This window comes from Homo sapiens, chromosome 1, assembly GCF_000001405.40.
Source record: "Homo sapiens chromosome 1, GRCh38.p14 Primary Assembly".
Lineage (NCBI taxonomy): Eukaryota > Metazoa > Chordata > Mammalia > Primates > Hominidae > Homo > Homo sapiens.
This window is the reverse complement of record NC_000001.11, coordinates 23995879-24010167: the sequence shown is the minus strand read 5'-3', so window position 1 is coordinate 24010167 and position 14289 is coordinate 23995879. Positions and strand designations below refer to the sequence as shown.

General features: G+C 43.4%; 1 pseudogene; it reads left to right on the top strand.

Annotated features, from left to right (window-relative positions):
• Positions 1614–2334, top strand: RPL36P5 (ribosomal protein L36 pseudogene 5; annotated as a pseudogene).

Sequence of the window (14289 nt, the reverse complement as noted above, 5' to 3'; positions counted from 1 at the left end):
GTAGACAAGGAGTGGCATCCTTTTGAGAGAGCTACAGAGGAAATCTCAGATGTCTGGGTTTCCATCAGGCACAGAGGTAGAGGTAGAGACAGAGTTTCCATGAAGAGCTTACATTCTAGAAGGGTTTGCTTAGTATGGGATGAGCCTTCAGCAGGTGCAGGGGGAATCTTTGGAGGAGCAAAGCAGCAGGAAGAGGCAACACAGAGTAGAATGGAGAGGACGCTATAAAAGAAGAGGTCACAGGGTAATAGAGGGTATTATAGATTATGGGGATGTTAATATTTTGAACATTAAATCAAAGATTAGAGGATTGTGAGGGAGGACAGGCCCAACTGGCCACAACATTTGCAAGGAATCTGTCCCGGCAGTCAGTTAATGGGCAGGGGGGAATTTAGGGCATTCTGGAAGAAATCAGTCTTGTCCTAAGTTGGTAATGCTTTTGAAGACACTCTCATCCAGGTAAACTGGCCAGTGATAGTTCTATTGAGTCCCCAGGACTCTATCAACAGTTGAACAAAGCAGAGGGAGGGTAGAAGAGTGAGTGGGCATGAGTCAGGCCTCCAGGAATATGTCAGCAATGGCCTGCATTGATTTATTTCTAATGTGATCATATAGCATAACAGGGGTAAGCCTGGAAGTTCCTGGACAAGAGATACTATGTTTATTCAGCTCTGAAACTCCAGAATATAACAGATTCCCACTGCATATACTAGAAGGTGGCTCACTAAATGCTTGTTGAAGAAATAGATGAACAAATTATATATACTGTTTATTCTATTTGTGATGGCATTTAGCACAGCCATATAGCAATATAGAGTACTACAGAGCATTCAAATTTCAAGATTAGATCAATAGTCCCCTCTCGCCGGGTGTGCTGGCTCACGCCTGTAATCCCAGCACTTTGGGAGGCCGAGGCGGGCAGATTGCCTGAGCTCAGGAGTTTGAGACCAGCCTGGGCAACCCGGTGAAACCCCGTATCTACTAAAATACAAAAAATTAGCCTGGTGTGGTGGCGTGCACCTGTAATTCCAATTACTCAGGAGGCTGAGGCAGGAGAATTGCTTGAACCCAGGAGGCAGAGGCTGCAGTGAGCCAAGATCGTGCCACTGCACTTCAGCCTGGGTGACAGAATGAGACTCCGTCTCAAAAAAAAAAAAAAAAAAAATAGTCCCCTCTCCCCAAAAGAAAATCCCTGAAATATAGCAAATTTGTATTATAATGAAAGTAGCTCAGAGATCACAAATGAATACATTTAATGTTAGGAAGAAAATGAAGATTATTTACATGACTGGAAAAATATTCAAGGTAAACTGATATTTTCACTGAAAACCCTCTTTATTTGGAATGTTGGTTTTGGAACTGAGCCTGCAATTTCTCTAGACTACTTTCCCCAAGGGACTCAGTGCAACACTAGACCTTCTGTTTAACACAGCAAAGCTGATGCTATAAAACAAAGTGCAGCCATCACCATTAAGTAAAAGTATTAAGTAAAACCAGTAATATCAGTGGTTTAAAAGTTGCCACCTGAATTAATGCAGCCATTACCAATGTTAATAAACCCCTTTAAAGACATGGTAAAATGCTTTGGAAATAATACTATTTTTAAAAAGCTGCCTTCCGCCACGGCTGCCTTTGGAGAGCAGCAGCCATGGCTCTGCGCTACCCTATGGCCATGGGCCTCAACAAGGGCCACAAGGTGACCAAGAACGTGAGCAATCCCAGGCACAGCTGCCACCGCAGGTGCCTGACCAAACACACCAAGTTTGTGCAGGACATGATCCGAGAGGTGTGTGGCTTTGCCCCTTACGAGTGTCACACCATGGAGTTACAGAAGGTCTCCAAGGCCATGGAGTTACTGAAGACCTCCAAGTTTATCAAGAAAAGGGTGGGGGCCAGGCAAAGTGGCTCAGCCTGTAATCCCAGCACTTTGGAAGGCTGAGGCAGTTGGATCACCTGAGGTTAGGAGTTCGAGACCAGCCTGGCCAACATGGCAAAACCCCGTCTCTACTAAAAATACAAAAATTAGCTGAGTGTGGTGGCGCATGCCTGTAATCCCAGCTACTGAGGAGGCTGAGGCAGGAGAATTGCTTGAACCCAGGAGGCAGAGGTTGCAGTGAGCCGAGACTGCGCCACTGCACTCCAGCCTGGGCAACAGAGCGAGACTCCGTCTCCAAAAAAAAAAAAAAAAAAGAAAAGGGTGAGGATGCATATCCATGCCAAGAGGAAGCGGGAGGAGCTGAGCAATGTCCTGGCTGCCATGAAGAAAGCCACTGCCAAGAAAGACTGAGCCCCTTGCCCTGCCCTCTTCCTGAAATAAAGAACAGCTTGACAGAAAAAAGAAAAAGAAAAAAAAAAGCTGAATACAAAATCGTATAAAAAGTATATTCTTTTTTATTTTTTATTTTCATTAATTAATTAATTTTTTTTTTTTTGAGATAGGGTCTGGCTCTGGTCACCCAGGCTAGCATGCAATGGTGCCATTATAGTCCACTGCAGCCTTGAATGCCTGGGCTCAAGCAATTCTCCTGCTTCAGACACCAAAGTAGCTGGGACTACAGGTGCATGCCACCACACCAGCTATTTTTTTTGTGTGTGTGGAGATGGGTCTCACTTTGATGCCCAGGCTGGTCTCAAACTCCAGGCCTCAAGTGATCCTCCCATCTTAGTCTCCAAAGGGTTGGGTTTACAGGCATAAGCCAGCACACCCAGCCCCAAAAATTACATCCTTAAATTTGACAAAACATGTGTAAAACTTCAATCCTACACACTCTGGCAGAATATCACTAAGAGAAATTAAAGAAGATCTAAATAAATGGAGAGATATACCATATTCATGGATTAGAACAATCAATACTGTTAGAATGCTTGTTACTGTAAAACCACAAATGTCCATCATCAACAATTCATTGTTCAGAATGGTTGCTTACATTTTATATTATTAACATCTGAAAAGTATAAGCATTTGTATTAAATTTGGTGTGTTTCTGGGTAAGCTCAACAAAAAAGTAGTTTCTAAACCTGCAAAGAAGATGACCAGAGCTTAGACTGTAGATTTTTTACTGAAGTAGATTTTTACTGAAGGAATGTCCTACCAGTGAGCAAATCTCTTTGGCTCTTTTTAGCTTTAACAGTCTGAGACTAAGCCTCAGCCTCACAGATAGAAGCAATATGTGAACTAATTTCTCAAGATGATATTTCTGAAATAGTCCCTAGGGCAAGAAATCTTCATTTTCTCACATGTGAAATGAGATGAATTCCTATGTCGAGTGATAGGGCTATATTACAGATAAATTTGGATCTTCAGGATACTGGAAAGAAAGTCACCGTTAGTAATTTTTATGTGAAAATCATTCCCAACGTTAAGAGTCAGGTTTAAGAGGAAGAATCAGCAAGGGAGACTGAAAAGGAATGTCTGGTAGAATGGGAGAAAAACCTGTGTGGCATCCTAGAAGCCAAGTGAAGAAAGACGGCCGGGCATGGTGGCTCACGCACGGTGGCTCACGCCTGTAAACCCAGAACTTTGGGAGGCTGAGGAAGGCAGATCACCTGAGGTCAGAAGTTCGAGACCAGCGTGACCAACATGGAGAAACCCCATCTCTACTAAAAATACAAAATTAGCCAGGCATGGTGGCGCATGCCTGTAATCCCAGCTACTCAGGAAGCTGAGGCAGGAGAATCGCTTGAACTCAGGAGGCGGAGGTTGCAGTGAGCCAAGATCGTGCCACTACACTCCAGCCTGGGCAACAAGAACAAAACTCCATCTCCAAAAAAAAAAAGAAGAAGAAAGAAAAAAAGATGACTAGGTACTGTATCAATCAGGATCTAATCAAGAAAATCAGTCTAGGTGTTTCAAATAGAATAAATTAATAATGAAACTGGCTACAAGAGTGTTAAAAGGGAAGGAGTATCAAAAGAGGGGAGATGAGATTACTCAAAGATCAGTAACTTCAGGAAACCATTACCACCTTGGGACAGAGGAACAAAAACCTTACCCAAAACTCAGAGACAGGATCTCTGAGGGTTCTGTCTCTAAGGATCCTGTTAGCTGTGGGATCCCAGTTGTTTAAACAGGAACCCAAGAATCTGTACTTCCAAGTCATTGCTCCTGTCCCTGCAGCCACCTCTCAGATCCATTACAACCATTTTCTTTCTTTTTTTTTTTTTTTTTTGAGACAGAGTCTCACTCTGTTGCCCAGGCTCGAGTGCAGTGGCACAATCTCGGCTCACTGCAACCTCCACCTCCCAGGTTCAAGCAATCCTCCTGCCTCAGCCCCCCTAGTAGCTGGGATTACAGGCATGTGCCACCATGCCTGGCAAATTTTTGTATTTTTAGTAGAGATAGGGTTTTGCCATGTTGGCCAGGCTGGTCTCAGACTCCTGACCTCAGGTGATCCACTCGCCTCAGCCTCCCAAAGTGCTGGGATTACAGGCGTGAGCCACTGCATTACTACCATTTTCACTGGAGCCAGTGCCATCACCATCAATTACCTCTGCTGGCCAAAGATGCCACCAGAATCCAAAAGCAGGAAGAGAGTCAATTCCTCCTTCCATCCTCCAGTATCACACCAATGCCTTTCATCGTCAGAATATAAACAGAAGCCAGCTAGCAAGGAAGCCTAGAAAATACAGTTTGTCACTCTCTGAAATGTCTACCAGAGTGCAGAAGGGCAGGTGAGAGCAACAGCACAAGTTATTGGTTACCCAGCATGTTTTGTCACTCTACCTACATTTAACTTTTTTTTTCTTTATTTTTTCAGATAGAGTCTCACTCTGTTGCCCAGGCTAGAGTGCATGGCAGTGGTGCAATCATGGCTCACTGAAAGCTTGACTTCTCGGGCTCAGGCGATCCTCCTACCTCAGCCTCCTGAGTAGCTGAGACTACAGTTCACTCACTATGTTGCCCAGACTGGTCTTGAATTTCTGAGCTCAAGGGATCTACCTGCCTTGGCCTCCTAAAGTGCCAGGATTACAGGCATGAGCCACCGCTCCCAGCCTATATTTAACATTCATACAACAATTAAAACTACTTCATGATCTTCTCCTTGAATATGCAAATAATCTCTCCCACAAAGACCCATTCTCTTCCTCAAAAATGTGAGACATAAAATCCACCTCTGGTCAGGCGCAGTGGCTCATGCCTGTAATCCCAACACTCTGGGAGCCTAAGGAGGGTGAATCACCTGAGGTCAGGAGTTCAAGACCATCCTGGCCAACATGGTGAAACCCTGTCTCTATTAAAAATAAATATAAAAATAAAAATTAGCCAAGTGTGGTGGCGGGCACTTGTAATCCTAGCTACTCAGGAGGCTGAAGCAGGAGAATCGCTTGAATCCAGCAGGCAGAGGTTGCAGTGAGCTGAGATGGTGCCACTGCACTCCAGCCTGGGTGACAGAGTGAGATTCAATCTCAAAATAAAGAAATAAATTAATTTAATTTAATTTAATCCACCTCTGAATTTATCTCTGGGTGATGCTAAATCATCTTTTAGCCCAATCACAATCCCATCTGGATATTCAATAACTCAAAGATTAAGTTGAAGTTAGTTACCAACACTGCCTCCTCTTATAACGTCCATAAACCTTTTGGGGCTCCCTATTTATCTTCAGATTATATACCGTCAAAATCCAGCTGGGTGCGCAGTGGCTCATGCCTATAATCCCAGCATTTTGGGAGGCCAAAGTGAAAGGATCACTTGAGCCCAGGAATTCAAGACCAGCCTGGGCAACAAAGTGAAACCCCATCTCTGCAAAAAATTCTTTTTAAATTAGCTGGACATAGTGGCGCACACCTGTAGTTCCAGCTACTTAGGAGGCTGAAGCAGAAGGATCACTCGAACCCAGAGTTTCAAGGCTACAGTGAGCTATGATTGCACCACTGCACTCCAGTCTCAGCGACAGAGTGAGATCCCATCTTAAATAAATAAATAAAGTCTCCCACATTTGGGGTTTAAGGACCTATCAAGCTAGACCAAAGTCCTCCTTTTTTTTCCCAATTAGCAACAATCGCACCTCATTGGCTATGGTATCGCCACTGCACAAAGCTCGATCTTCCTTTCATAACTTCTCACTACTGATTAGATTGATCTGTATTTCATTTCCCAAACACACCTTGTATATGTCTCCCTCTAAGCTTTTGAGCTTGTCATTACTCCCACCCAAAATGCTTTCCCCATTCTCTTTTTCTTTTCTATCTCCTCTGCTCCAAACCTACCAATTTTTGAAGGTATGGCCCAGGTTCAATGTCTGCACACAGCTCTCTCCCAAAGGCACCAGCCCCCTGGGACAAACTAACCCCCTTGGGTTTGATTCTTCCTGGCTTCCCCACAGCACCTAGTGGCACAATGCCTCCCACATATCCATTTACTGACAAATACCTGGCTGTGGAGGACAGGGAAAAGGCAACGCATAGCTAGCTATTAATTCAAAGCCCAACACACTTAATGCCCAACATCAGCTTCCTGTAGCCTCCCATCGTCCCTACTCAGGCTCTGTTTGATTCTGAATTAAAATCTGAAGCAGTACATCAATTCACCACAGCAAACCTCAAAGGAGTTCAGCTGGTCTCCAGAGACACTGTTCTCAGATTACTACCAAGCTAGCAACCTGGTTGAGGTCATTAGCAAACCACACCACTTGCCAGCTAACATCAAGTCAAAGACAGAGGCAAACAAAATGATTTCAAAGGGGCATTGCTCAACAGGAATTGTTCACCCTGAGAAAACGTGCAGGACACTGAAGAGCTAAGACCCAGAACTCAACACATTCCTGCTTAGCCATCCTGGGTTTGTTCCCAACAAAGGCTAGAAGATGCAAAGCCGTTGCAAGTCTTCTTTCTCTATAGGGGTTTTAAGATGTGATTTGGAATGCTAATTTCTACCAACAATGAAATTCTGCATAAACACAAAGGGCAATTAGCAAAGACCCTAGAGACATAGTTCTTGTCCCAGTTCTGCCCTGGATGAACCTTGTACTTTTCCCTCCCCTGATCTTAGTTTTCTTATCTGAAATATGAGGGGGTTGAACTAGATCATCTCCAAGGACACTTCCAATCATGAAATCCAAAAACAGCTTTAATTGCTTTCTGCTTTCCTTGTTACAAGACGTCCAATTATTCATTGAAGACCATTACTATCTATTACCTTGGAGGCTACTATTTATTATCTTGGAAGCTACCATGTATGACTGTTAGAGTTGTGCACTGAACAAATCCAGAGAGCACCATTCATTTTATAGTCTATGTAAACTACATTCCTGTGTTGGGCAGTGTACAACCTGAATATCCATATATAACAGCTCTGATTATGCTCTTCAATTTTGTAAATAGTTAAGGTTTTACTTTTTATTTTCCTTTTTTTTTTTGGACAGGGTCTTACTCTGTCACCCAGGCTGGAGTGCAGTGGTGTGATCCATGGCTTACTGCAGCCTCAACCACCCAGGCTCAAGTGACCTTCCCGCCTCAGCCCCCCAAGTACATGGGACTACAGGCATGTGCCACCATGCCCAACTAATTTAAATTTTTTGTAGAGATGAGGTTTCACCATGTTGCTCAGGCTGGTCTTGAACTCCTTGCCTCAAGTGATCTGCCCACCTCTGCCTCCCAAAGTGCTGGGATTACAGACTTGAGCTACCACACCCGGCCTCTTTTATCTTCTTCATATCCATTATTTCCTGACCTTGGTTCCTGCTGGCAGAGCTGAAACTATATTAATATGTAGTACTGACTGACCAAAGTATTCTCTTATTAACTAACTCCTAATTATGTACATTGAATGAGAATAATAATAATGTTAATATTTATTGACATTTGTAAATATGTATTGATCACCTACCATGTGCAAGATACTGGACATGTATTACTATATTTGTTCCTTATGAAATCCTATTAGGTATAAATTACTATCCTCATCTTTGGATGATGATGTAGTTTGGATGTGTGTCTCCTTCAAATCTCATGTTGAAATGTGGCCTCCAATGTTGGAGGTGGGCCTGGTGGGAGGTGTTTGGGTCTTAGGGCCAGATCCCTTATGAATGGCGTGGTGCCATCCCCATGGTAATGAGTGAGTTCTTGCTCCAGTAGTTCACACAAGGTCTGGCTTTTGAAAAAAGCCTGGCATCTCTCTTGCTCTCTCACCATGTGAGAGAGGGGTGAGATGGTCCTAAGGAGTATGAACGAAGGTGATAATATTTTGATCCTCAAGGCAAGGACCAAAGCTGAAATGTCCATTCGAAGTGAATAATACACAAGCCATTTCTTCCCAACAGTTATCACTGAGCAAAGAGGAAGAAAGAGTCAGACTTAAATAAAGAAAAAAGACAGTGTTTCTAAAGTGAAACACTCTGTGTACAGAGTCCAGAGAGGGAGCAAAGTCAAAACCTAGAACAGTCCTGGCCGGGCGCAGTGGCTCACGCCTGTAATCCCAGCACTTCGGGAGACTGAGGCGGGTGAATCACCTGAGGTCAGGATTTCGAGACCAGCCTGGCCAACATGGTGAAACCCCATCTCTACTAAAAACACAAAAATTAGCCAGGTGTGGTGGTGCATGCCTGTAATCCCAGCTACTTGGGAGGCTGAGGCAGGAGAATTGCTTGAACATGGGAGGCAGAGGTTGCAGTGAACCGAGATTGTGCCACTGCATTCCAGCCTGAATGATACAGTGAGACTCTGACCCAGAAGAAAAAAAAAAAAGACAAAACCTAGGACAGTCCTAAAACAGAGGTCGTCTTGCCCTAAATCAGGATCAGGTAGCAGCTTCACCTTCTCACCCACGGCTTCAAGTCACCTGATTCTTCCACATGCCTACAGGCTGTGTGTTATGCAAGTCACTGGATTATAAGAACAGCAGTGAAATTAAACAGTTAAATCTCTGCATCTTTGCTTTTCATGCCTAAAGTCTCTCCATGTGAAAAAAAATCGTGTGATTTTTTTCCCCCATAACTGTGTGGCTCCTTGCATTGTTCCAGATTTGAAAATAAATAATGATTGATATAGAACATGGTTCTAAAAATGTTAATTAATTTGTTTACTGATATGTTTAATCTCTAAAATACTTTGAATTTAAAAAGAAATAAAAATTAACTATGACTACATACAATGAAAGAGATACATATTTTTAAAACACCCTGTACAATTCTACAACTTCATTACATATTCATATGACTTGGATATGTCTATACAAACTCTATATATTTTACTAAAAATCATTGAATTGTACACTTACAATGGGTGTGTGTGTGTGTATATATATACTTTTTTTCTTTTTTTTGGTGGGGGACAAAGTCTCGCTCTTGCTGCCTAGGCTAGAGTGCAATGGCACGATCTCAGCTCACTGTAACCTCCGCCTCCCCAGTTCAAGTGATTCTCCTGCCTCAGCCTCCCAAATGGGTGGAATTACAGGCACCTGCCACCACACCCGGGTAATTTTTGTATTTTTAGTAGAGATGGGGTTTCGCCATGTTGGCCAGGCTGGTCTGGAACTCCTGACCTCAGGTGATCTGCCTGCCTCAGCCTCCCAAAGTACTGGGTTTACAGGCATGAGCCGCCGCACCTAGCCACAGTGGGTATATTTTATAGTATGTAAATTATACCTCAATAAAACTTTTTAAAAAACCACCCTGTACAAGACTTAAAAGCAAACATAAGCCAGCAGAATATATTTGCTGTGAAAATAACTGAAACAAAATCACACCACAGAAGTCTTCAAAATTCTGAGAAAAGCATTTACATCTCAATGGAAAATGAGCAAAATAAATAAAAGTTGTCAATAAACATGAGAAAAACCTTCATCTTCACTAGCAATCAAATAAACATGGAGGCCAGACGCAGTGGCTCACACCTGTGATCTCAGCACTTTGGGAGGCCAAGGCAGGCAGATCACCTGAGGTCAGGAGTTCAAGACCAGCCTGGCCAATACAGCAAAACTCCGTCTCTACTAAAAATACAAAAATTAGCCGGGCATGGTAGTGCATGCCTGTAATCCCAGCTACTTGGGAGGATGAGGCAGGAGAATCGTTTGAACCTGGGAGGAGGTGGTTGTGGTGAGTCAATCACGCCTCTGCACTCCAGCCTGGGAGACAAAAGCGAAACTCGGTCTCAAAAAATAAATAAATAAAATAAACATGTTTTTAAGAAGTAAAGGTTTAATCTATGAAAAATGGCAACTTCTTTTTTAAGGTAACATCCAAAATAGGTGAGGATGGCTGACACAGGCTGAGAAAACACCTTGGTGTCCTTAGATATCACCTCCCTTCCTAAACAGGAGTGAATCAGGGCCAGGTGCCGTGGCTCACACCTGTAATACCAGTGCTTTGGGAGACCAAGGCAGGCGGATCACTTGAGGTCAGGAGTTCGAGACCAGCCTGGCCAACATGGTGAAACCTCGTCTCTACTAAAAATACACAAATCAGCCAGGCATGGTGGTGCATGCCTGTAGTCTCAGCTACTCGGGAGGCTGAGGCAGAAGAATCACTTGAACCCAGGAGGCAGAGGTTGCAGTGAGCCAGGATAGTGCCACTGCACTCCAGATTGGGTGACAGAAAGAGACTCCATCTTGAAAAAAAAACCTTTGGGTTTCCAGTGTCACCTGAAATTTACATCTATTGTACCTTATTGTTGCTGGCTATTTACAGGCCTATATCATCCAGTTAAATTTCAAACCTCTGAGAACTGTGGCTTAGTCTTCCATATATACCTGGCACAGAGTATAAACTCTACACATGTTCACTGTGTGTGTATTGAATGGGTAATGAGAATGAAACCAATGCGACCTTTCCAAAGGTTATTTTTATCTTGTATATCAAGTTCTTAAAATTGTTCTTTAACTCAGTCATTCAACACTTTGGAATTTGTCCTTAAAATTGTGTGCTTCTGAGATGAACAACAATGGTTATCTCAAGGTTAGTGTATTAGTCCACTTTCATACTGCTATAAAGAACTGACCGAGACTGGGTAATTTATAACAGAAAGAGGTTTAATCGACTCACAGTTCAGCATGCCTGGGGAGGCCTCAGGAAACTTACAATCATGGTGGAAGGCAAAGGGGAAGCAAGGGACCTTCTTTACAAGGCAGCAGGAAGGAAAAGTGTTGAGGGAAGGGAGAAGAGCCCCTTATAAAACCATCAGATCTCATGAGCACTCACTACCCCGAGAACAGCAAAAGTGAAACCATCCCCCAACCCCCTACTCCCCACCCCAGCCATGATTCAATTACCTCTACCTAGTCTTTCTCTTGACACGTGGGGATTATGGAGATTACAATTCAAAATGAGATTTTAGGTGGGGCACAGCCAAACCATATCAGTTAGTTTTAACAATAAAAAATGGGAAATAGGGCCAGGTGTAATGGCTAATGCCTGTAATCCCAACACTTTGGGAGGCTAAGGCAGGCAGATTGCTTGAGCCCAGGAATTTGAGACCAGCCTGGGCAACGTGGCAAAACCCCATCTCTATTAAAAGAAAAAAATACGAAAATCAGCCAAGCGTGATGGTGTACTCCTATAGTCCCAGCTACACGGAAGGCTAAGGTAGGAGGATGACCTGAGCCTGGGGAGGTAGAGGATGCCATGATTGTGCCACTGCACTCCAGCCTGGGTGACAGAGTGAGACCCTGCCTCAGAAAAAAAAAAAAAAAAGGAAAACTAGGAAATAATGCAAATGTCTGACATTCAGTGATAGATCAAATTTTTTTCCTATTTGTATAGCCTATTTTTAAAATTGTGGTAAAATACACATAAGATACAATTTACTATTTTAACCATTCTGAAGTACACAGTTCTGTGACATTCAGTACATTCACAATGATGTGCAATCATCACCACTATCTAGTTCCAGAACTTTTTCATCACCCCAAAAGGAAACTTCCCACCTACTGAGCAGTTTACTCTCCTTAGCCCCTGGGAACCACTAATCTGCTTATGGTCTCTGTGGATTTTCCCTATTCTGGATATTTCATATAAATGGAATCATACATTATGTGGCCATTTGTGTCTGGCTTTCACTTAACATAATGTTTTCAAGGTTCATCTATGGTGTAGCATGTCACAGTACTTCATTTCTTTTTATAGCTGAATAATGTCCCTTGTATTAATATACCATATTTTATTTATCCATTCATCAGTTGATGGACATTTGGCCTGTTTGCAACTTTTGGCTATTGTGAATAGTGCTGTTATAAACATTTGTGTACAAGTTTTTGTTCAAACACCTGTTTTCAATTCTTTTGAGCACATACCCAGGAGTGGAATTGCTGTATCATGCAGTAATTCAATGTTTAACTTATTGAGGAACTGCCAGTTTTTCACGGCAACTGCACCATTTTACATCCCATCAGCAATGCACAAGGGTTCCATAGATTAACATGTTATTCCACAGTTTTGCCATGCCAGACTATCCTGTCACTAATAAAACAAAGTCCCTGCTTTTAAGAAATGTATAGTCAGTAGAGGAAATCAGTTTATAATACAAATATTGTAAATCAATATTAATCTTCTTTGATTAATACCAAGAAATGGTTGATTTTTTTCAACCATTTAAAACTGTAAAACAGGTGGGTGCAGTGGCTCATTCCTGTCATCCCAACTCTTTGGGAGGCCAACGCAGGAAGATTGCTTTAGGCCAGGAGTTCAAGGCCAGCCTGGGCAACATAGTGAGACACCCCCCCATCTCTAAAAAAAAAATTTTTTTTCTGAGACAGATCTTGCTCGTCGCCCACGCTGGAGTGCAGTGGCTTTATCTCAGCTCACTGCAACCTCTACCTCCTGGGTTCAAGCTATTCTTCTGCCTCAGCCTCCGGAGTAGCTGGAATTACAGGAGTTCGAAACTGGTGCGTGCCACCACCCCCGACTAATTTTTGTATTTTTAGTAGAGATGGGGTTTCACCATATTGTCCAGGCTGGGCTCAAACTTCTGGCCTGAAGCAATCCACCTGCCTCAGCCTCCCAAAGTGCTCGGATTACACGTGTGAGCCACCGCAGCTGGCCAAAATTTTTTTTTTTTAGTTAGCCAGGCATGGTGGTGATTCAAGGCTGTAATTCCAGCTACTCAGGAGGCTAAGGGGGGAGGATCACTTAAGCCCTAGATTTTGAGGCTCCCATGAGCAGCCTACTGCTGTATCATATGATCATAGCACTGTACTCTAGCCTAGGCGACAGAGCGAGACCTTGTGTCTTAAAAAAAAAATGCGATAAAGTAAATCAATAAAAATGCAAAATCCATTCTTAGCACATGGGCAATACAAAAACAGGCTGCAAGCCAGATTTGGCCTGAGGGTTATAGTTTTCTGACACCTGGAATAGACTCCCATTTACCAAGACTGATCTAGCTGCTGCTTACCTAACGGCTACAAAAATCAATGCTGTGGCCAGGCGCAGTGGGTCACGCCTGTAGTCCCAGCACTTTGGGAGGCTGAGGCAGGCAGATCACCTGAGGTCAGGAGTTCAAGACCAGCCTGGTCAACATGGTGAAACCCCGTCTCTACTAAAAATACAAAAATTAGCCAGGTGTGGTTGTGGGCGCCCATAATCCCAGCTACTTGGGAGGCTGAGGCAGGAGAATCGCTTGAACCTGGGAGACAGAGGTTGCTGTGAGCCAAGATCAGGCCATTGCACTCTAGCCTGGGCAACAAGAGTGAAACTGTCTCAAAAACAAAACAAAACAAAAACAATGCTGAGCCTCTGATACTATTCCTCACAACTGGTCTCAACTGACCCTCCTCAACAGGGAAAGATAGAGTTATTGTTCTAGAATGGGGGTTGGGGCAGGGTGTGCTGGCACACACCTGTAATCCCAGCTACTCAGGAGGCTAAGGCAGGAGAGTCGCTTGAACCCGGCAGGAGGAGGTTGCAGTGAGCCAAGATCCCACCACTGCACTCCAGCCTGGGTGACAGAGTGAGACTCTCAAAATAAATAAATAAATAAATCATTAAATAATAGAATGGGGGTTGGGATGAATATACGTGGAACCCAGGTGATCTATGTGGGTGCCTTGTGATTTTCTTTGCCAATTGTAAAGTGAATGGACAAGTACTGCAACCTGGCCTGAGAAGGGAATAGGGGGGCACGACTTTTCTCTGCCCTCTTAGGGTCTCCAACTGGGTCTGCAAATTAAATTGACATAATGCAAATTAACAGGAGGAAAGCATACAGATGTTTACATCTACATAGGAGCCCCCATTTGAAAATAAAGACCCTGTGTAGGAAAAACTCTGTGGCTTTTGTTTTTTGTTTTTTGAGATGGAGTTTCGCTTTTGTTGCCCAGGCTGGAGTGCGGTGGTGCAATCTCAGCTTACTGCAACC